This window comes from Homo sapiens, chromosome 1 (assembly GCF_000001405.40).
Source record: "Homo sapiens chromosome 1, GRCh38.p14 Primary Assembly".
NCBI lineage: Eukaryota > Metazoa > Chordata > Mammalia > Primates > Hominidae > Homo > Homo sapiens.
Genome location: NC_000001.11, coordinates 161,046,910 through 161,070,175, shown reverse-complemented (window position 1 = coordinate 161,070,175; position 23,266 = coordinate 161,046,910). Strand labels below are relative to the sequence as shown.

The window sequence follows — 23,266 nt, the reverse complement described above, 5'->3', positions numbered from 1 at the left end:
TCAACTTGCTCCCAGGCAAGCCCCAGGTCTCTACCTTGGACCCAAGAATTCTGGTCTCTAAGGGAGTTGGTCACCTGCTCACACCACAGACGCCATCACCCCACCCCAGGGCTCTGACATCACCTCCCCTGACCAATGAATGAAGTCCAAGCAAAGGGTGAGGATGTGAATGTCAGCTACCTCCCCCACCCTAGGCCCTGTGGTTGCAAAGATGCTCTAACAGGAAGTGGGTTAAGGAGCTGCACTGCTTCCTGCCCCCTAAAGCTGAGCGGGGCGAGGAGGGCGAGTGCCAGGCTGGGCCACGAGACACAGGACACAATTTCTTGCCAGGGTCCTGGTAGCTTCCTCTTCAACAGCCACTTCCGTGTGGCCGGGGCCCCAGGGGCAGGAGCTGCTGCCCGTTGCCCAGGCCACCCTCCACCCCCAATTGGGAGCCCTGCCCCCCTGGGGCCGGGCCAAGCCCAGCAGCTGGCTGGGATCCCATGGGGGACTGGTAGGGCACAGGTCTTGGGGGATAGAGGTGACCGGGCCAGTGCCCTGGGGCTCTGGCCATGAAGTCTCGGCAGAAAGGAAAGAAGAAGGGCAGCGCAAAGGAGCGGGTTTTTGGGTGCGACTTGCAGGAGCACCTGCAGCACTCAGGCCAGGAGGGTAAGGAGGCCGGCTCAGCTTCTGCAGGGTGGGTGGGGAGGCACTGGGCATCTGCAGCCCGATCCAGCCTGAAGGGCAGAAGCAGTTTCCGGTGCTCCTGGGGAAGGGGCAGTGGCCTGGGGTCACCATTCAAGAGAACTGTAAGTGGGCAAGACAGGAAATGTGGCTCAGTGAAGAAGGCAGGGCGGCTCCCTTGTGTAACTTTCTGGGGATGGGGTGGCTGAGGGGATGAGAATGTGAGTACCCAGGTAGCAGTGAGGGGGAGGATGGAGAGACTGGAAACCGAGGAGGAGTGGATGAAACAGCGGGCAGGTGACTGGGAACAGGAGAGGGAGGGTGAGGCGACAGGGTCAGGAGAGGAGTGGCTGAAGGGGAAATGATTATCCTTAGGTCTGAATGAAAGGAGACAGGGAAATGGCCCCAGAAGGGTCTCAAGATGGCCCTTGAGGCGGGTGGTTTCCTGGCTGGAGAACACCCAAGGACAAGGTCATGGGCTCTGTTCCCACTGCAGCCTTGCTGGGCCGCAGGGGATGATGTCGGGCTGGAAACAACCTCTGCCCCTAGTCTTTGTGATTCTCTTGTTGTCCCTGTGCAAAAGAGAAACAGGTTCAAAGTGGGGGGCAAGGGGAGAAGCTGCTGAAATGGGGAAGAATGAAAGAGAGGGTGTGAGGCCTGGCTTGAAGCTGGAGGTGGAGGGTGCAAAGGAGGGTGGGTGTGGAGCTGTCTGTGGAGCTCACCCAGCTCCCTCCCTGGGTTACCTTAGAGTGGGCTTTGAAGCCAGAAGGACCAGGGACAATATCAGGTTCACAACGGGGCCTGGCATGGAGCAGCCACTCAAAATCATTTCTTGATTCAATTTGAAATTGAACCCAGGCACCCTGGCTGCCCAGCCCAGCTTGTTTTTGGCACTTCAAGCTCCTCCTAGAGAAAGGCATAATTCTTTCCCCACTCCACCCCATTCCACCCCACCCCAATCTGTCATTTCCTCTTTGTCCCCTCCTCTGCTCTGGGCTGTGGTGCTTGCAGCGGAGGGAGGGTGATGGTGGTTCCCAGATCATTTCCTGCTCTTAGCCCCGCCCCTGCGTCCCCAGACACCTCCTTCCCCTTTTCTCCTCCAGTGAGAGGACCCCTATCCCCATTGCCCTTGGTTAAGGGAAAGCCCAGACCCCAAGGAAGAGTGTTAAACAGCTGAAGCGAGCTTATTTGAGCCTTCCTCTTCTCACTGGGCAGAGTGGAGGTGGCACAGCCATCAGTGCAGGGCTTACTCCTTTCTAAGGGACTCCTCTCAAGAGCTATGATTCTTAGCCAAGGATTATGAGATTTAATTGGGGATGATGTGCTCCTCCCAGCTCAATGCAAACCCTCAGTTCAGCCTTTCCTGGTACTGCCCTTTTTTGTGGTCCACCAACCAATTTTATCTTGAAACACTGAACCCACAGCCAGCCCAGACCCTGCTCCTATAACCCTCCCGGCCTCTTCCTGGATTCCTAGCAGGGAAGGGGCACACTCTCTAGAGGGGACAGACAGATCTGATTGCTGAATCCTGATCCTAGGTGAATCCGAGAGCAGGAGACCAGAACCTCACAGAACCCAAGGGTGGGTTGATCTTGGGCACCAGAGTAGCAGTGGTGGCTCCTTCCCTATCCCTCAGGTCTTCCTGGTACAGAGAGGTGGAAAGTGGAAGGAAGGACAGAGAGAGGCTGGTGATGGTTCCTCTCTTTAATCCAACATCCACAAAAAAATGAGAGCAGAGAGATCTTTGTTTTCGCTTAATTTATCCTCCCTGATCACGTTGGTCTCCCCCATCCCCACAGCCTTGCTCCATCTCAGCCCTCTCTCCAGCTCTTTGCCCCCACATGGGTCTCTTCCTTCCTTAAGCCCTGTATATACTGAATTCTTTCTTTTCCTAATCTTTGATAGATTGTTCAGGTTTCTTTCTTTCTTTCTTTCTTTCTTTTTTGAGATGGAGTCTTGCTCTGTCCCAGGCTGGAGTGTAGTGGGGTGATCTCGGCTCACTGCAACCTCTGCCTCCCAGGTTCAAGCAGTTCTCCTGCCTCAGCCTCCAGAGTAGCTGGGATTACAGGCAGGCACCACCACACCCAGCTAATTTTTGTATTTTTAGTAGAGACAGGGTTTCACCATGTTGGCCAGGCTGGTCTCGAACACTGACCTCATGATCCACCCGCCTCGGCCTCCCAAAGTGCTGGGATTACAGGCGTGAGCCACCGCACCTGGCCGATTGTTCAGGTTTCTAATTCTCAGGTCCCTAAGCTTTTGGCCTTCCTCCCTGACCCTACTCTTATTTCCTCGATGTCTCCATCCCTTTGACTTCATCGCTCCAATCCTGTCTGTAGGTTTTATCTCTGATCTCATCTCTCTGATCTCTATCTCCCTAACTCCCCCATCTCTGTGACCCTGTTGTCTCTTCCCCCATCTCCTTGACCCAGTTCTTCTATGGCTGTGACTCCTTAGGCTTTTGAGTGTCCCCTTTAAAGGACTCTGGAGGTTCAAAATCAGCAGAGAAGGATAGGATAGAGAAGACCTGGTTTGTATGCTGCTCATGTGACAAAAACCTGGTGGTTTAGGTGACAGCAGACTATTTATGAGTCAAAAGAGTTGGCTTAGCATTAGGCACCCGAGAGTACAGCAGCAGCTCAGACAAGGAGGGGCCTGCCCTATCTCTGCATTCAATGCTGGGAACCTGAGGTCAGTGGGATCCTAGAAAATGGGAGTAGGTACTGAAACGATGGATGGTGAACTGTAGGACTGAGACTAAGACGAGGCAAGAGACATGACTAGGGTGCAAAATTTAAGGAAGCACTCACTTTCAGTGTCGTACAATTGCCCTAGGTGCCTTTTTTTTTTTTTTTTTTTTTTTTTTTTGAGATGCAGTCTTGCTCTGTCACCCAGGCTGGAGTGCAGCACAACCATCTTGGCTTACTGCAACCTCGACCTCCAGGGTTCAAGCAATTCTCCCTGCCTCAGCCTCTCGAGTAGCTGGGACTACAGGCACCACCACGCCTGGCTAATTTTTGTACTTTTTAGTGGAGACGGGGTTTTGCCATGTTGGCCAGGCTAGTCTTGAACTCCTGAGCTCAGGTGATCCACTCGCCTCGGCCTCCCAAAGTGCTGGGATTACAGGTGTGAGCCACCACACCAGGCCCCTAGATGCCTCATTCTCAAGGAGGTACTCAAGACCGTGCATGGGCATGGTTGGCATCTCCATGGCCCTGAGAATAAGTGCTTCCTTAAATTTTGCACACTAGATGCTTCCCTAATCCCACCCAACTCCTGGCTGTGGTGTGCAGGAGGATGAAGGGTCTGAAAGCCAGGTCGTATGAGGAGAGTTGAAAGATTTTGGTTGGCTGAGCATGGTGGCTCACGCCTGTAATCCCAGCACTTTGGGAGGCCAAGGCGGGTGGATCACTTGAGGTCAGGAGTTTGAGGCCAGCCTGGCCAACATGGTGAGATTCCGTCTCTACTAAAAATACAAAAATTAGCTGGACATGGTGGTGTGCGCCTGTAGTCCCAGCTACTCGGGAGGCTGAGGCTTCAGTGAGCCAAGACTGCACCACTGCACTCCAGCCTGGGCAACAAAGTGAGACTCTGTCTCAAATAAATAAATAAATAAATAAATAAATAAATAAATAAATAAATAAGGGGCCGGGTGCAGTGGCTCACGCCTGTAATCCCAACACTTTGGGAAGCCAAGGTGGGTGGATCACCTGAGGTCGGGAGTTTGAGACCAGCCTGACCAACATGGAGAAACTCTGTCTCTACTAGAAATATAAAAATTAGCCGGGCAGAGTGGTGGGTGCCTGTAATCCTAGCTACTTGGGAGGCTGAGGCAGGAGAATCTCTTGAATCTGGGAGGCGGAGGTTGCAGTGAACTGAGATCGCGCCATTGCACTCTCCAGCCTGGGCAACAAGAGTGAAACTCCGTCTCAGAAAAAAAAAGAAAAGAAAAAAGAAAAAAGAAAAAGAAAAAAGAAAAAGGAAAGATTGGGATTGATGAATTTATTGATTATTTTCTTCATTCCATATTTCTGTCATACTTTATTCAACAAAGAGCTTGGAATGACTTTCAAAACCTAAAACTTTACAAAAAATTAGAATAAATGATTGAAGGAATTGGGTTGAAGGAAAAACAAGAGGAAGAGAAAGATCAGCACCCAGAAATGCATATTACATTGTTCTGTATGGTTCTTAGAGGTGGGCTCTGAGCTTCCTAGTGGTTAAAGAGGTAAACATAGGCCAGGCCCAGTGGCTCACGCCTGTAATCCCAGCACTTTAGGAGGCCGAGGCAGGCAGATCACTTGTGGTCAGGAGTTCGAGGCCAGCCTGGCCAACATGGTGAGACCCCATCCCTACTAAATAACATAAAAATTAGCAGGGCATGGTGGCGTGCACCTGTAGTCCTGGCTACTCAGGAGGCTGAGGCACCAGAACTGCTTGAATGCACCCCAACTCAAAATAAATAAATAAATAAACATAATCAAGTGCAAGACTCATGGGCCCATAAGGAAAAAAAGTTAGATGGTTTAGGAGAACCACAGCTTTTTCCCCCTTCCCTTCCCTTCTTCCCTTCCCTTCCCTTCCTTTCCTTTTCTCTTCCTTCCCTCCCTCCCTTCCTTCCTCTCTCTTTTCTCTCCTTCCTCTCCTTCCTCTCCTTCCTTTCCTTTCTTTCTTTCTTTCTCTTTCTTTCTTTCTTTCTTTCTTTCTTTCTTTCTTTCTTTCTTTCTTTCTTTTTCTTTCTTTCTTTCTTTCTCTTTCTTTCTTGTCTTACTCTGTTGCCGAGGCTGGTGTGCAATGGTGCCATCATCACTCACTGCAGCCTCAAACTCCTGGGCTCAAGCAATCTCCTGCTTTAGCCTCCTGAGTAGCTGGGACTACAGGTGTGAGCCACCATGCCCTGCTAATTTTTTGTTTTTTGTAGAGATGAGGTCTTGCTATGCTACCCAGGCTGTTCTTGAACTCCTGATCTCAAGTGATCTACCTGCCTTGACCTCCCAAACTGTTGGGATTACAGGCATGAGCTGCCATGCCAAACACAGCTTTTTCTGACACTGATATGTGAGACGAATTGCTCTGATGAGTCCTAGTTAATAGAACCCAGTATTCTGTCACTGGCAATATTCTCTGTTAAATCTCCAAGGGATGTTATTGATTCTCATAATTGATTAATTCACTGAGTCATTTCATACCGGGGGAACTGCCCCGATAATCATGTAGGTTCTTTCCTATTTTCCTAAGCGTCGGCTGGCTTGAGAAATAAAAGGACAGAGTACAAAAGAGAGAAATGTTAAACCTGGGCATCCAGGGGAGACATCACACATTGGTAGGATCCGTGATGCCCCACAAGCCACAAAAACCAGCAAGTTTTTATTAGAGAGTTTCAAAAGGGGAGGGAGTATACAAATAGGTATGGGTGACAGACATCAAGTACTTAACAGGGTAACAGAATATCACAAGGCAAGTGGAGGCAGGGTGAGATCACAGGACCAAAGGACCAAAGCGAAATTAAAATTGCTAATGAAGTTTTGGGCACCACTGTCATTGATAACATCTTATCAGGAGACAGGTTTTGAGATCAACCGGTCTGACCAAAATTTATTAGGCGAGAGTTTCCTCTTCCTAATAAGCCTGGGAGTGCTATGGGAGACTGGAGTTTATTTCACCTCTGCAATCTGGACCATAAGAGACAGGTACGCCCCGGTGGGGGGGGCGTTCAGAGACCTACCCCTAGGTGCGCATTCTCTTTCTCAGGGATATCCCATGCTGAGAAAAAGAATTCAGCGATATTTCTCCCATTTGCTTTTGAAAGAAGAGAAATATGGCTCTGTTCTGCCCGGTTCACCGGCAGTCAGAGTTTAAGGTTATCTCTCTTATTCCCTGAACAATTGATGTTATCCTGTTCTTTTTTCAGGGTGCCCACATTTCATATTGCTCAAAAACACATGCTGTACAATTTGTGTAGTTAACGCAATTATTACGGGGTCCTGAGACGATATACATCCTTCTTGGCTGACAGGATTAAGAGACTAAAGTAAAGACAGGCATAGGAAATCACAAGGGTATTGATTGGGGAAGTGATAAGTGTCCATGAAATCTTTACAATTTATGTTTAGAGATTGCAGTAAAGACAGGCATAAGAAATTACAAAAGTATTAATTTGGGGAACTAATAAATGTCCATAAAATCTTCACAATCCACGTTCTTCTGCCATGGCTTCAGCCGGTCCCTCCATTTGGGGTCCCTGACTTCCCACAACAATTTCACAAACATTCATTGAGCATCTGCTCTGTTTCAACATTGTGCCAGATGCTGGGAGGATGTTATTATATGTCAGGAGGTATCAATACAAAATAAACTAATCATAACAAACTGCAAGAAGTGCTATAATACAAACATGAATGGCTGGGCGCAGTGGCTCACGCCTGTAATCCCAGCACTTTGAGAGGCTGAGGTGGGCAGATCACCTGAGGTCGGGAGTTCGAGACAGCCTGACCAACATGGGGAAACACCGACTCTACTAAAAATACAAAATTAGCTGGGCACGGTGGCACATGCCTGTAATCCCAGCTACTAGGGAGGCTGAGGCAGGAGAATCGCTTGAACCTGGGAGGCGGAGGTTGTGGTGAGCCGAGATTGTGCCACTGCACTCCAGCCTGGGCAACAAGAGCGAAACTCCGTCTCAAAAAAAAAAGAACAAAGACTGTGGCGAATTATAATATAGATATAAGAAAAAGGTTTGGAATTGGAGGTTATGTTTAAGATGTGCTTTTTTTCTTTTTTTTTTGACACGGAATCTCACTCTGTCCCCCAGGCTGGAGTGCAGTGGTGCAATCTCAGCTCACTGCAACAACTACCTCCCAGATTCAAGCAATTCTTCTGCCTCAGCCACCCAAGTAGCTGGGACTACAGACACATGCCACCACATCAGGCTAATTTTTATATTTTTAGTAGAGACGGGGTTTTGCTATGTTGGCCAGGCTGGTCTCAAACTCTAAACCTCAAGTGATCTGCCCACCTCGGCCTACCAAAGTGGTGGGATTACAGGTGTGAGCCACCGCACCTGGCCTAAGATGTGTCTTAAGGAATGCATAGAAGTTCACCAGGCAGAGTCAGAGGGAGGGTAATTCCAGGCACGGGAATAATATGAGTGATGCTACCAAGGCTCATAGGATTTGTCAAGGAATTGTCTGGAGCTGTGGCTGAAATGGTGTCTGGACCTGATTTGTGAAGGGTCTTATATACCAGGTTGAGGAGTTTATATTTTATTTCGTATTTGTAAGGTAAGCAATGGGGATTAAAGTGGGGCAGAGTGGGGTGTATGCGAGGCAAAGGATCTAAAGTAGGGAAGTGCTTTGGAAAGATAACTACGTGGCCTGGTGGAGATGGGTTTCAATACATGGTTTTTTTTTGTTGTTGTTGTTTTTAAAGACCGAGTCTTGCTCTGTCATTAAAGCTGGAGTACAGTGGCACAGTCTTGGCTCATTGCAACCTCCACCTCCCGGGTTCAAGCAATTCTCCTGCCTCAGCCTCCCAAGTAGCTGGAATTATAGGCGTGCGCTGCCACGCCCGGCTAATTTTTGTATTTTTAGTAGAGACGGGGTTTCAGCATGTTGGCCAGGCTGGTCTCGAACTCCTGACCTCAGATGATCCACCCACTTTGGCCTCCCAAAGTGCTGGGATTACAGGCGTGAGCCACCACGCCTGGCCATTTTTGAGGATCTATCATGTATGAGACACCATGTCAGATAATATAAGGAATACCAAGATGGATCACACTTAGATTTTGTCCTTAAAAAGCTTACAGTCTAGTAACAGGAGGGGGCCTAGGGTTGGGAAAGATAGTACAGGTTTTGCACCCTTGATTTGAGTCATGGCTCTAGCTGGGTGCTGCTGGGCACTCAGTACTTCTTTGACCCTCAGTTTTCTTATCTGTAAAATGGGTACTAGAATATCTAATTTTTAAAGTTTTTTTTTTCAGATATTCTTGTATTTGATTGCCAAAGGTCTGTCATTCAGAATATCTAATTTTTAAGATTAAATGATAGAACATATATAAAGCAGGTCAGGCGCGGTGGCTCACGCCTGTAATCCCAGCACTTTGGGAGGCTCACCTGAGGTCAGGAGTACGAGACCAGCCTGGCCAACATGGTGAAACCCGGTCTCTACTAAAAATACAAAAATTAGCTGGGCGTGGTGGCGCGTGTCTGTAATTCCAGCTACTTGGGAGGCTGAGGCAGGAAAATTGCTTGAACCTGGGAGGTGGAGGTTGCAGTGAGCCAAGACTGTGCCACTGCACTCCAGTCTGGGAAACAGAGTGAGACTCCATCTAAAAAAAACAAACAAACAAACAGAACCCAACAACAACAAAGAACTAATAGCCATGAGCTTTCTTACCAGAGGGTGTGCTTCAAATAATCCCCAACAGTCCTGTTCCATTTGGGTTGGGACAACTAATGTTCCTTCACCTTATGTAGAGTGTTAAGTAAATGCACTTTTAAGATAAGTCCTTGGCCAGGCTCGGTGGCTCACGCCTGTAATCCCAGCACTTTGGGAGGCCGAGGCGGGCGAAATATGAGGTCAGGAGTTCAAGACCAGCCTGGCCAACATGGTGAAACCCTGCCTCTACTAAAAATACAAAAAAGTTAGCTGGAGACGTAGCGGCGGGCGTCTGTAATTCTAGCTACTTGAGAGGCTGAGGCAGGAGACTCGCTTGAACCCGGGAGGCGGAGGTTGCAGTAAGGAAAGATCGCGCCACTGCACTCCAGCCTGGGCAACAGAGTGAGACTCCGTCTCAAAAAAAAAAAAAAAAAAAAAAGTCCTTGACTCTGCCTCCCCTACCAACCAGATTGTTGCCCCTTTAAAAATAACTAGTAATTACAGACAAGTTTCTTTCCTTTCCTTTTTTTTTTTTTTTTTGAGATGGAGTTTCACTCTTGTTACCCAGATTAGAGTGCAGTGGCGTGATCTCAGCTCACTGAAACCTCCACCTCCTGGTTCAAGTGATTCTCTTGCCTCAGCCTCCCAAGTAGCTGGGATTACAGGCATGTGCCACCATGCCCAGGTAGTTTTTGTAGTTTTTAGTAGAGATGGGGTTTCACCATGTTGGTCAGGCTGGTCTCAAACTCCTGACCTCAGGCAATTCACCCACCTCAGCCTCCCAAAGTGTTGGGATTACAGGCATGAGACACCGCACCTGGCCCAAGAGAGATAAATTTCTTTCTTTCTCTTTCTTTTTTTTTTTTTGAAACAGGGTCTCACTCTGTTACCCAGCAGGCCAGAGTGCGGCTTCCTGCAGCCCTTGCCTCCTGGGCTCAGGTGATCCTCCCATATCAGCCTCCTGAGTAGCTGAAACTACAGGCATGTACCACCACACCCCATTTGTGTTTGTATTTTTTGTAGAGACAGAGTTTCAGCATGTTACTCAGTCTGATCTTGAACTCCTGGGCTCAAGCAACTCACCCGCCTTGGCCTCTCAAGGTGCTGGCTTACAGGGGTGAGCCACTGCACCCAGCCTGACAAATTTCACTTTAACAAAGGCAGAACTTTCTAACAAAGAGCTGATTGGGTAGTTTGGAGAGGCAGTGAGCTCCCAGGACCTTTAGGACCCACTAAGCAGAGATACTGTAGAGGGGTTGGCAGGTTGAAGCTGATGATCTGTAAGAATTGTTCTGACAAGTTTTTATTCCATGAGCTTTGCTCGTCGTGGTCTCCCCAAATTCCATTTCTCAGACCCAGTGCAGTCTTTGACCACCCAGATCCTCTGATTTCTATGTCTCTGCCCCGTCTGTGTCCCCAGTGCCCCAGGTGCTAAAGAGCTGTGCAGAATTTGTGGAGGAGTATGGAGTGGTGGATGGGATCTACCGCCTCTCAGGGGTCTCCTCCAACATCCAGAAGCTTCGGTGAGTCAAACAGAGTGGGAGGGCTCTGTGACCAGGAGGCCAGGGAGCCAGAAGGTCACAGTAAGAGTTGCTGAGGACAGCAGAGATGGGGAGTGAGAGGCAGTGGGGAGAAGGAAACACAGATACTAGGTAAGGTCCTAGGGAGGTGCTCTAACAACTCCTCAGGGAAGGTGGAGACCATGGTCCCTCCCCCAACTTAGCACACACACACACACAAACTCCACTCTCACATACACCATTCCCACACACACACCCGGCTTAAAAAAAAAAAAAAAAAAAAACTTGAGCCAGGCGCGGTGGCTCACGCTTGTAATCTCAGCACTCTGGGAGGCTGAAGTGGGTGGATCACCTGAGGTCAGGAGTTCAAGACCAGCCTGGCCAACGTGGTGAAACCCCGTCTCTACTAAAAATACAAAAATTAGCTGGGTGTGGTGGCACACACCTGTAATCCCAGCTCCTTGGGAGGCTGAGGCAGGAGAATTGCTCCAACCCAGGAGGCAGAGGTTGCAGTGAGCCAAGATTGCGCCACTGCACTCCAGCCTGGGTGACAGAGTGAGACTCCATTTCAAAACAAAAAACAAAAAACTTAGATATAATTTACATATCAAAAAATTCACCATTTAAAAATGTATAACTCCGTTGTTTTTAGTGTATTCACATACTATTCACATGGTATATTTACTTTAGATAGTGATGAAGTACAATAATCATCACTATCTAATTCCAGGACATTTCTTTCTTTTTTTTTTTTTTGAGATAGAGTCTCACTCTGTTGCCCAGGCTGGAGTGCAGTGGCGCAATCTTGGCTCATTGCAACCTCTGCCTCCTGGGTTCAAGTGATTCTCCTGCCTCGGCCTCCTGAGTAGCTGGGACTACAGATGCACACCACCACGCCTGGCTAATTTTTGTATTTTTAGTAGAAATGGGGTTTCACTATGTCGGCCAGGCTGGTCTTAATATTTTTTTTTTCAATTTTTTTTTTTTTTTGAGACAGAGTCTCCCTCTGTTGCCCAGGGTGGAGTGCAGTGTCGTGATCTTGGCTCATTGCAACCTCTGCCTCCTGGGTTCAAGTGATTCTCCTGCCTCAGCCTCCCGAGTAGCTGGGACTACAGGCATGCACCACCACACCCAGCTAATTTTTGTATCTTTAGTAGAGATGGGGTTTCACTATGTTAGCCAGGCTGCTCTTGAACTCCTGACCTCAAGTGATCTGCCTGCCTTAGCCTCTCAAAGTGTTGGGATTACAGGCATGAGCCACCATGCCCTGGCCTGTGTATTTATTTATTTATTTATTTATTTTTTGGGATGGAGTTTTGCTCTGCTGCCCAGGCTGTAGTGCAGTGGCGTGATCTGAGCTCACTGCAGCCTCTGACTCCTAGGTTCAAGCAATTCTCCTGCCTCAGCCTCCCGAGTAGCTGGGATTACAGGCACATGTCACCACTCCCGGTTAATTTTTTTTTTTGAGATGGAGTTTCACTCTTGTTGCCCAGGCTGGAGTGCAGTGTCGCGATCTTGGCTCACCACAACCTCCACCTTGCGGGTTCAAGCGATTCTCCTGCCTCAGCCTCCTGAATAGCTGGGATTACAGGCGAGCGCCACCATGCCTGGCTAATTTTGTATTTTTAGTAGAGACGGGGTTCCTCCATGTTGGTCAGGCTGGTCTTGAACTCTCGACCTCAGGTGATCTGCCTGCCTTGGCCTCCAGAAGTGCTGGGATTACAGGTGTGAGCCACCATGCTCAGCCCACAGTTTTGTATTTTTAGTGGAGACAGGGTTTCACCATGTTGGTCAGGCTGGTCTCGAACTCCAGACCTCAGGTGATCCACCTGGCTCAGCCTCCCAACGTGTTGGGATTACAGGCATGAGCCACTGCGCCCGGCCTACCTTTTTTATTATAGCCATCCCTGTAAATGTAAACTGATATTTCAAAGTGATTTATATTTGAGTTACTTTTGTTCTTTTTCTGTTCTTTTTTTGAGACTGGGTCTCACTCTGTCACCCAAGCTAGAGTGCAGTGGCATGGTCATGGCTCACTGCAGCCTCTACCTCCTAGGCTCAAGCGATCCTCCTACCTCAGCCTTCTGAGTAGTGGGGATTACAGGCATGAGCCGCCTCCCCTGGCCTATATTTGCATTTCTGTAATAGGTAATGATGTTGAACATCTTTTCCTGTGCTTATTGTCTACTTGCATATCTTCTTTGGAGCAATACCATGTTTATTCAAACCCTTTGCCCATTTTTTCCCCCTTTCCTATGGTGCTGACTTTGCCTGTTTAAAAATTTGGCTTATTTGTTTAGCCGGGCATGGTGGTGGGTGCCTGTAGTCCAGCTACTCAGGAGGCTGAGGCAGGAGAATCACTCGAACCTGGGAGGCGGAGGCTGCAGTGAGCAGAGATCGTGCCACTGCATGCCAGTCTGGGCGACAGAGTGAGACTCTGTCTCAAAAAAAAAAAAAATTAGCTTATTTGTCTTTCTAGTCATTGAATTACAAGAGTTCTTTATATGTTTGGAATGCTAGACCCTCAATCAGATATATTGTTTGCAAATATTACTCCCATTTTGTGGGTTGTCTTCACTTTTTTAATGGTGACTTTTGGCTACAAATGTTTTTAATTTTGATGTTCAATGTATCCATTTCTTTGTTTGCTTGTGCTTTTAGTATCATATCTAAGAAACTGTTGCCTAATCCTAGGACATAAAGATTTACACTTAACGTTTCTTTCTAAGAGTTATACCCATCCATTTTTACATGTACCCAGTGGCACAGATTTAGGACCATACCCTACTGACTCTTACAGACCCTTGTACTGCTACACATATCTACAGCTACATCCCTAACATATCCCTGTTCACGCATAGATCCACTTACCTGTACATGTACCCATCCTCACATTCACATCTACATGTCAACATATGCAATATCTTATACTTACTGGCTTACATGTGTACGTGTCCCAACATTCTCCTTCCAAGTCCAACACATGTTGACCCACGACCATGCCGGGACCCATCTCTATAGGGACCCACCTCTCCCCACATCACCCCAACCCCTACCACTCCTGACCACACCGCGCCTCCCCAGGCAGGAATTTGAGTCAGAGCGGAAGCCAGACCTGCGTCGGGATGTTTACCTCCAAGACATTCACTGCGTCTCCTCCCTGTGCAAGGCCTATTTCAGAGAACTGCCGGATCCCCTGCTCACTTACCGGCTCTATGACAAGTTTGCTGTGAGTTGAGAGGCCGAGGGGTGGAAGACAGGGCTCAGGGGTGGACAGCCTGGTTTTGACATCCCAAGTGTGCCACATACTAGCCAGAGTCCTAGCGATCCTGAATGACAGAGACCACAGAAAAACTTACCGGGGAAAAGACCCCTCCTCCCCAAATCTCCTAGCCCCTACTACCTTTGTCCTCCCCCATTCCTTTTCTCTTCACTCTCTCTCTGCTATGTCCTTCTTTCTCCCTAAGGCCTGAAGATTGCACACAGCACAGTGGTGAGACTTGGGGAGGTAGAGGTCAGATTGTTGTAGCTGGAAGGGCCTTGGAAAGCATGTAGACCAGAGCTTCCCTACACTTAAGAGAATCAGAATACTTTTTAGAAGTAAAATTTTTTCAAGGATGCCTCTCCATTCACTCTAATTATGCGTTGAACATCTTTGGTATTTTATTTTATTTTATATTTATTTTATTTTATTTTATTTTATTTTATTTTATTTTATTTTATTTTATTTATTTTTATTTTATTTTATTTTATTTTATTTATTTTATTTTATTTATTTTATTTTATTTTATTTTATTTTATTTTATTTTATTATTTTATTTTATTTTAATTTTAAGATGGAGTCTCACTCTGTTGCCCAGGCTGGAGTATAGTGGTGCAATCTTGGCTCACTGCAACCTCCGCCTCCCAGGTTCAAGTGATTCTCCTGCCTCAGCCTCCCGAGTAGCTGGAGAGCCCGCCACAATGCCTGGCTAATTTTTTGTATTTTTGGTAGAGACAGGGTTTCACCATGTTGGCCAGGCTGGTCTTGAATCCCTGACCTCAAGTGATTCACCCACCTCAGCCTCCCAAAGTGTTGGAATTACAGGCATGAGCCCCTGCGCCCAGCCTGTTTTTTGTTTTTTGAGACAGGGTCTCCTTCGGTCACCCAGGCCGGAGTGCAGTGGTGTGATCACAGCTCACTGCAACCTCAATCTCCCAGGCTCAAGTGATCCTCCTACCTCAGCCTCCTGAGTAGATGGGACTACAGGCGTGCACCACCATGCCTGGCTGATTTTTAAAATTTTTAGTAGAGACAAGGTCTTGCTGTGTTGCCCACGCTGGTCTCAAGCTCCTAAGCTTAAGAAATCCTCCCAACTCAGCTCCCAAAGTGCTGGTGTTACAGGTGTGAGTCACTGTGCCCAGCCTGAACATCTTTTAAATGCGAAAACACATGAAAAATATGCTATTTTGAATTGAGTAACACTTTAAAAATAAGTTGCACTTTATTGAGCATAAGAGCACTGAGAGACCCTAAATCCTAGCAGCACCCTGCTCAGTCCACACCGGCTAGGTTGGGGTGGGGGACAGCTTTCCTGGACACACTGAAATAACTCTGTGGTCCCTGGGGCACCCACAGGGTGGCGCCACTGAAGTATCCCAGTACCAGAGCTCTACGGATGGAGGATGGTAAGGCAGCGAGTTGCCAAGTTCACAAAAGCTATTAAGTGGCATAACCAAAATTCAGCTGCCATCTTCGTGGACCCCAATTCTGAGCTCTCTCTACCAAGTCAGTGCACCGCAGATGATGTAGGATGGGGTAGCACAGAGTCCAGTGCACATTGTTCCTGAGAACTTGGTTACAAGCTCTGGGGAGTAAGCAGGGGCATTGCTGGGTCACTGATTCCTGCTTCTTGCACTCTTCTCAATCAGGAGGCTGTAGGAGTGCAATTGGAACCTGAGCGCTTGGTCAAGATCCTAGAGGTGCTTCGGGAACTCCCTGTCCCAAACTACAGGTATGTGACACTCCATATCTGCCCAGCAACCTGAGACAACTCATTCACTCGCTGCCTGGAGCCTTAACTGGGTCCTACTGCTCCCAGGTCCCAGCCCTAATGCCTGCCCTGGGCATTCCCTGTGTGATCCCTGCCCCCGCTTTCTGCAGGACCCTGGAGTTCCTCATGAGGCACTTGGTACACATGGCCTCATTCAGTGCCCAGACCAACATGCATGCTCGCAACCTGGCCATCGTGTGGGCTCCCAACCTGCTGAGGTAGGTGCCTGTGTGAGCAGTGTATGGGGATCCTGTGAGACACTGGCCTTTGGGAGGCTGCTCCCAGGATGAGGTGTGACTGTGTGGGTACACTGGAGAAGGGTGTAGGGCTCACAAAGCCCAGTGAGAAAAGAAGGTTCAAGATCATGGTGGGTCGGATGGGCCCCATCTATTTTAGTCCCTTCTCTGTGATCAAATAAAGTCCCTAAAAGGCAGGACTTTTGTGTTTTCCTACAGTGTGTCACTGAGCTCAGGGACTGGAACATAACAGTTCCATATCAATTTTTTGTTTGTTTTTGAGACAGAGTCTTGCTCTGTTGCCCAGGCTGGAGAGCAGCGGTGCGATCTCAACTCACTGCAAACTCCGCTTCCTGGGTTCAAGGGATTCTCGTGCCTCAGCCTCCTGAGTAGCTGGGATTACAGGCATGAGCCACCATGCCTGGCTAATTTTTGTATTTTTAGTAGAGAGAAGGGGTTTCACCATGTTGGTCAGGCTGATCTTGAACTCCTGACCTCAGGTGATCCACCCACCTCCTCCCTGTGCAAGTGCTAGGATTACAGGTGTGAGCCACTCTGTCCGGCCTCACGCCAAATGTTTGTTGAGCAAAACGTCTTGCAGTCTGTTGGCTGTGCTCACTGTGCATATCACTCACTGTGGTCCAAGACAGACTATGAGAAGTCCTGTAATTCATTATAAAATTCATTATAAACTAGACACCCTGGTGTGCAAAGGAAATAGAGATTAATCCTGAGGCGGGTGTCCAAGAAGGCTTCCTTCCTAGAAGTCTTCAAGTGGCATTTGAGAATTGGAAGAATTATGCATACAATTTAAGAGGTAGAGAAGGGGTTAAGGTCATTCGAGAGAGAGAGAGAGAGAGAGAGAGAGAGAGAGAGAGAGAGAGAATAAGGTATTTTCAGGGAGAATCTGGATTGGGAAGTTTGGTGGGGCTGAGGGGGAGAATAATTCCACATCTCCACAGGTCTAAGGACATAGAGGCCTCAGGCTTCAATGGGACAGCGGCCTTCATGGAGGTGCGGGTACAATCCATCGTCGTGGAGTTCATCCTCACACACGTGGACCAGCTCTTTGGGGGTGCTGCCCTCTCTGGTCAGTGTCCTTCCTGCCCTCCACATATCCCACTGTTGGGGAGTCAAGTTAGTTACAGAGAGCCTTGAAGATCACCTACTTCAGCTGAGTCTCATACAGGGATGTTGGTAGTGGCCACATGGAGAGAACCCTGGGGAGATAATTGTGCAGTCAGGACTTGAGAAGACTTCTTCTGCTGTCAGTCTAGGGCATGGCTTGACCTCTGAGTCACCATCCTGGCTCCCAAGGCTAGTGATGGCTCATATCCACCCCCAGCCCACCAGGCCAACGTTCTCGGATCTCCCAGCCCTCTTTGTCCATGAGGGCACTCTTTTGAGGTGATGGACATGGAGGCACTGTCTTCAGGGGCTTCTGAATATATCCCTAACCTGGTAGTTGGCGAGGGGTGATGAAGGATTGGGTGCCTGAGGTCCCTCTCTTGGCTCTGTTCCTGGCTGGCCAATTCCTTTTCTTTTCCCAGGTGGTGAGGTGGAGAGTGGGTGGCGATCGCTTCCAGGGACCCGGGCATCAGGCAGCCCCGAGGACCTTATGCCCAGGCCACTGCCTTATCACCTGCCTAGCATACTGCAGGCTGGCGATGGACCCCCACAGATGCGGCCCTACCATACTATCATCGAGATTGCAGAGCACAAGTAAGGCCTCCTTCCTGGGCCTTCCTCCCCTGCACCGACCTTCATGTTCCAACCTCCAATTATGCCCCTCCATTCTTTGTAGGAGGAAGGGGTCTTTGAAGGTCAGGAAGTGGAGGTCTATCTTCAATTTAGGTCGCTCTGGCCATGAGACTAAGCGTAAACTTCCACGGGGGGCTGAGGACAGGGGTAAGTCTGGGGAGATGGGGGGAGCTCTGCTGAGGGTGCACAAGGCCCTGGCTCTACACACATCCCTGTCTTACAGAGGATAAATCCAACAAGGGGACACTGCGGCCAGCCAAAAGCATGGACTCACTGAGTGCTGCAGCTGGGGCCAGTGATGGTGAGTATAGGGGTGCATTTCTGTGTGTATGTGTGTGTGCTATGTGACCAGCGTGGGCTTGTGTGTACATGCAGCCAACTGTGTTCAATAATTTCAAAAAATATTTAATGAGTGCCTATTATATACCAGCCACATTGTAAATGTAGCTGAATGCTACGGTGAGTTGATTGTCTAATCTATGACTTTGTTGATGAGTGTTCGTATGGGATGGGACAGCATGGGTATGTGGTGGTGGTGGTGGTGGTGGTGGTGGTGGTGGTGGTGGTGGTGGTGGTGGTGGTGGTGGTGGTGGTGGTGGTGGTGGTGGTGGTGGTGGTGACAACGGCCAGTGACTGTATCTGCAGGGAAGGAAGGGAGTTCCCTAGGTATGTGAAGGTGAGGTGATCTTTGACCTACTGGCTGGGTGAAAAGTTTGCAGTAGTGATCAAAAGAAGCTGGGCCTGGTGCCTTCCAGGCTATCGTTGCTTTCAAGCCTGAGAAAGCAGAGAGCATTCTCCAGAGCCTTCTTGAGATGTCTAGGCCCCTTGGAGTTTAGGCTATTGCCTACCTGGCCCTCTTTTTCCTCCACAGAGCCAGAGGGGCTGGTGGGGCCCAGCAGCCCCCGGCCAAGCCCATTGCTGCCTGAGAGCTTGGAGAACGATTCTATAGAGGCAGCAGAGGGTGAACAGGAGCCTGAGGCAGAAGCACTGGGTGGCACAAACTCTGAACCAGGCACACCACGAGCTGGGCGGTCAGCCATCCGGGCTGGGGGCAGCAGCCGTGCAGAACGCTGTGCTGGTGTCCACATCTCAGACCCCTACAATGTCAACCTCCCGCTACACATCACCTCTATCCTCAGTGTGCCCCCGAACATCATCTCTAACGTTTCCTTGGCCAGGCTCACCCGTGGCCTTGAGTGCCCTGCTCTACAGCACCGGCCAAGCCCTGCCTCTGGCCCTGGCCCTGGCCCTGGCCTTGGCCCTGGCCCCCCAGGTGAGGACCCATTGATTGACCAAGACTAGGAAAGGGGACTGGAACTCTAGGCTGAAGCTCTGATGCTGGAAGATCCACCCTAGGAAGGGCAGAGGCCTCAGCCCTTGGGCTTTGGGGTGGTTACCTTTAGCTGCCTCCCTAGATTCAGGATTAGGGAAATCCAGTAATATTATCAGGCTATGTGAAATCTATGGAGAGGAGATCTCTAGCAGCCTTCAGAACATTGATGTACCCAAGAATAGGGGCCTGTGTCAGAAACATACAGCAGGGATTACTAAGGACAAATGTGGGAATATATAATAGATGGATGGGTAACAATAATAGTAACATCAATACTATCAGCTAACATTTAGCAAGAGTTTATTAAGTACCAGCCAGGCGCCGTGGCTCATGCCTGTAAACCCAGCACTTTGGGATGCCTAGGCAGGCAGATCACCTGAGGTCAGGAGTTCAAGACCAGCCTGCCCAACATGGCGAAACCCCATCTCTACTAAAAATGCAAAAAACTGGCCAGGTGTGGTGGCAGATGCCTGCGGTCCCAGCTCCTTGGGAGGCTGAGGCAGGAGAATCGCTTGAACCCAGGAGGCAGAGGCTGCAGCGAGCCGAGATCACGCCACTGCACTCTAGCCTGGGCGACAAGAGCAAAACTCTGTCTCAAATTAAAAAAAAAAAAACAAAAAACAGTTTATTAAGTACCAAGTGCTAGGCCAGGCACGGTGGCTCACACCTGTAATCCCAACACTTTGGGAAGCTGAGGAGGGTGGATCACTGGAGGTCAGGAGTTCGAGACCAGCCTGGTCAACATGGTGAAACCCCGTCTCTACTAAAAAAAATTAAAAAAAAATTAGCCAGGCGTGCGTGGTGAGGCATGCCTGTAATCCCAGAGACTCAGAAGGCTGAGGCAGGAGAATTGGTTCAACCCAGGAGGTGGAGGTTGCAGTGAGCTGAGATTGCGCCACTGCACTCCAGCCTGGGAGACATAGCAAGACTCCGTCTCAAAAAAAAAAAAAAAAAAAAAGGTCCAAGTGCTGTGATTGCAGGATTGGTTTGTTTCATTTTCTCATAATCTTATGACATAGGTATTGTTAGCCTTATGTTACAGCAGTGGAAACTGAGACTTAGGTTAATCAATTTGCAATTGATTTAGGTAGAAGTAGCAGAGCTAGGATCTGATCCTTGCTCTGACTCCAGTTCCTGAAGTGTCACTCATGAGAAGTCCTGAGGCAGGATAGGATAGTGGGTAAGAACATGGGCTATAGAGTTAAGTAGACTTGGGTTCAAATTTTGGCTGTACTGCTTATTCATTACATGACCTTAGACAAATTGCTTAATCTCTCTGAGCCTCAGTTTCCTCATATGTAAAATGAGGACAATACCCCACATAATAGTTTGGAGGAAAAAATGCCAATGCATTGTAAAATACATAGCACAGTGCTTGGCACCTGGTAGGGTCTCAATTAAGGTAGCAAGCCAATAACTAGGGACATTGGTCTGAAAGGATCAGTCATGCAGAGTAGCAATGCTGGGAGTGCTGGGCCCCTGCTATATCAATGCTAGGAGGACTCACACTGAAAAGGGTCAGGGCTTGACCTTTGTATTCCTGGGACTACTTCTCCCCCAACAGATGAAAAGTTGGAAGCAAGTCCAGCCTCAAGTCCCCTGGCAGACTCAGGCCCAGACGACTTGGCTCCTGCCCTGGAGGACTCGCTGTCCCAGGAGGTGCAGGACTCCTTCTCCTTCCTAGAGGACTCAAGCAGCTCAGAACCTGAGTGGGTGGGGGCAGAGGATGGGGAGGTGGCCCAGGCAGAAGCAGCAGGAGCAGCCTTCTCCCCTGGGGAGGACGACCCTGGGATGGGCTACCTGGAGGAGCTCCTGGGAGTTGGGCCTCAGGTAAGGAGAGCCGTGCTGGGTTTGGGGGTGGCATGGAGTCAAGGGTGGACAGGGCCTCCTGGTCCTGAGTCACAATGCTGTGCCTACAGGTGGAGGAGTTCTCTGTGGAGCCACCCCTGGATGACCTGTCTCTGGATGAGGCACAGTTTGTCTTGGCCCCCAGCTGCTGTTCCCTGGACTCCGCTGGCCCCAGGCCTGAAGTTGAGGAGGAAAATGGGGAGGAAGTTTTCCTGAGTGCCTATGATGACCTAAGTCCCCTTCTGGGACCTAAACCCCCAATCTGGAAGGGTTCAGGGAGTCTGGAGGGAGAGGCAGCAGGATGTGGAAGGCAGGCTCTGGGACAGGGTGGGGAAGAGCAGGCATGCTGGGAAGTTGGGGAGGACAAGCAGGCTGAGCCTGGAGGCAGGCTAGACATCAGGGAAGAGGCAGAGGGAAGTCCAGAGACCAAGGTGGAGGCTGGAAAGGCCAGTGAGGATAGAGGGGAGGCTGGGGGAAGCCAAGAGACAAAAGTCAGATTGAGAGAAGGGAGTAGGGAAGAGACAGAGGCCAAGGAAGAGAAGTCCAAAGGTCAGAAGAAGGCTGACAGTATGGAGGCTAAAGGTGTGGAGGAACCAGGAGGAGATGAGTATACAGATGAGAAGGAAAAAGAAATTGAGAGAGAAGAGGATGAACAAAGAGAGGAAGCCCAGGTAGAAGCTGGAAGGGACCTAGAGCAAGGGGCCCAGGAAGATCAAGTTGCTGAGGAGAAATGGGAAGTTGTACAGAAACAAGAGGCTGAGGGAGTCAGAGAGGATGAGGACAAAGGACAGAGGGAGAAGGGGTACCATGAAGCAAGAAAAGACCAAGGAGATGGTGAAGACAGCAGAAGCCCAGAAGCAGCAACTGAAGGAGGAGCAGGGGAGGTCAGCAAGGAACGGGAGAGTGGGGATGGAGAGGCTGAGGGAGACCAGAGGGCTGGAGGGTACTATTTAGAAGAGGACACCCTCTCTGAAGGTTCAGGTGTAGCGTCCCTGGAGGTTGACTGTGCCAAAGAGGGCAATCCTCACTCTTCTGAGATGGAAGAGGTAGCCCCACAGCCACCTCAGCCAGAGGAGATGGAGCCTGAGGGGCAGCCCAGTCCAGACGGCTGTCTATGCCCCTGTTCTCTTGGCCTGGGTGGCGTGGGCATGCGTCTAGCTTCCACTCTGGTTCAGGTCCAACAGGTCCGCTCTGTGCCTGTGGTGCCCCCCAAGCCACAGTTTGCCAAGATGCCCAGTGCAATGTGTAGCAAGATTCATGTGGCACCTGCAAATCCATGCCCGAGGCCTGGCCGGCTTGATGGGACTCCTGGAGAAAGGGCTTGGGGGTCCCGAGCTTCTCGATCCTCTTGGAGGAATGGGGGTAGTCTTTCCTTTGATGCTGCTGTGGCCCTAGCCCGGGACCGCCAAAGGACTGAGGCTCAAGGAGTTCGGCGAACCCAGACCTGTACTGAGGGTGGGGATTACTGCCTCATCCCCAGAACCTCCCCTTGTAGCATGATCTCTGCCCATTCTCCTCGGCCCCTTAGCTGCCTGGAGCTCCCATCTGAAGGTGCAGAAGGGTCTGGATCCCGGAGTCGTCTTAGTCTGCCCCCCAGAGAACCCCAGGTTCCTGACCCCCTGTTGTCCTCTCAGCGCAGGTCATATGCATTTGAAACACAGGCTAACCCTGGGAAAGGTGAAGGACTGTGATTAGGACCACAGCCCTGGGCAAAGGGGACCAGCAAGTTGTCTTGAATCTCCAGGGTTCCTGACTAGCTGTCTCCTCTGCAGCATGAGCAGCTGTAGTGCCCAACTCTATAGGCTTTGGCCCTCCAGCTTCTCTCTTTGACTGTGGGAGGCACTGCCTTGGTTGGTTTACCTGAACTTGTCTCCGACACAAAGCACTTATCTCTTAGGAGATTCCCAAGAAAGTCAACAAGATCTTGTTCCCAGGGAGTGGGTCATTGGCCAAAGGGAACATAAGGTAGGCAGAAAACTTAAAAGAGTTTGTTAAAGTGAAGACTGGAGAAATTCCTCCCTTCCTCTGAGCTGTGAATCTCTCTTCATGAAAGCCAAAGGTAGAGACAGGGAGGACAGGGCCAGGTTAGGGCCTTCCACACACAAACACTTCTAGAGTTGCCCATTCCTGTTATGTTCTTGGACCCTAAGATACCTCCTGTCCCTTTTAAATCCAGATTAAGAGAAACGTCCAGGAAGAGCTCTTTGAAGCCCTCAATATTTGTTGGAGGGACTGGACTCCTCTCCAGCTCCCCACCCTCTGCCTCCAGTCACCATGTGCAAGAGAGGTCCTGTACAGATCTCTCTGGGCTCTCCTTTCTCCTTTGGAATAACTTGTTCCTATTTCAGGAAAGGGAAATGGTGTCACTCAGGCCCTGGGACTGCTTCTCCAGCCAGGCTGGGGCCACAGGTCCCACTCTAGTGAAGGTCAATGTCTCAGAATAAAAGCTGTATTTTTACACATAGTGTGGAGTCTCATTATTCTTATTAAAGTCTT

At 49.5% G+C, this 23,266-nt stretch overlaps 1 protein-coding gene across 8 annotated transcripts, besides 3 other annotated features; it reads left to right on the top strand.

Annotated features, from left to right (window-relative positions):
- Positions 285-23,230, top strand: ARHGAP30 (Rho GTPase activating protein 30). 8 transcript variants are annotated; one of them, NM_181720.3, is made up of 13 exons: positions 285-648; positions 10,460-10,562; positions 13,644-13,788; positions 15,471-15,553; positions 15,703-15,810; positions 16,791-16,918; positions 17,379-17,550; positions 17,633-17,736; positions 17,813-17,890; positions 18,461-18,862; positions 20,487-20,752; positions 20,842-21,187; positions 21,821-23,230. In NM_181720.3, exons 1-13 carry the CDS (start codon positions 552-554, stop codon positions 22,459-22,461), a joined length of 2,673 nt encoding a protein of 890 aa, NP_859071.2. In that variant the 5' UTR covers positions 285-551; the 3' UTR covers positions 22,462-23,230. The 8 variants fall into 8 exon arrangements, with proteins under 8 accessions (NP_859071.2, XP_005245127.1, NP_001020769.1 ...); XM_005245070.3 differs by having other exon boundaries at positions 20,487-20,581; positions 20,842-23,230; NM_001025598.2 differs by having other exon boundaries at positions 20,842-23,230.
- Positions 400-549: a silencer, noted in NCBI's record as "silent region_1465". NCBI's record gives its function as "represses an Ori minimal core promoter by ATAC-STARR-seq in GM12878 lymphoblastoid cells {active_cell/tissue: GM12878}" and the evidence as "EXISTENCE:reporter gene assay evidence [ECO:0000049][PMID:35858748]".
- Positions 400-992: a biological region, named in NCBI's record as "H3K27ac-H3K4me1 hESC enhancer GRCh37_chr1:161038974-161039520".
- Positions 446-992: an enhancer, noted in NCBI's record as "H3K27ac-H3K4me1 hESC enhancer chr1:161038974-161039520 (GRCh37/hg19 assembly coordinates)". NCBI's record gives its function as "activates a minimal SCP1, AML or CMV promoter by ChIP-STARR-seq in naive H9 embryonic stem cells {active_cell/tissue: H9 hESC(naive)}" and the evidence as "EXISTENCE:reporter gene assay evidence [ECO:0000049][PMID:30033119]".

What these genes read in the sequence shown, in the direction of transcription:
- ARHGAP30 (NM_001025598.2), top strand. Translation starts at nt 552, where the DNA reads ATGAAGTCTCGGCAGAAAGGAAAGAAGAAGGGCAGCGCAAAGGAGCGG. An exon ending in GCAGCACTCAGGCCAGGAGG is followed by an intron (nt 649 to 10,459) that starts GTAAGGAGGCCG and finishes CTGTGTCCCCAG; the next exon opens with TGCCCCAGGTGCTAAAGAGC. An exon ending in CTCCCTGTCCCAAACTACAG is followed by an intron (nt 15,554 to 15,702) that starts GTATGTGACACT and finishes CGCTTTCTGCAG; the next exon opens with GACCCTGGAGTTCCTCATGA.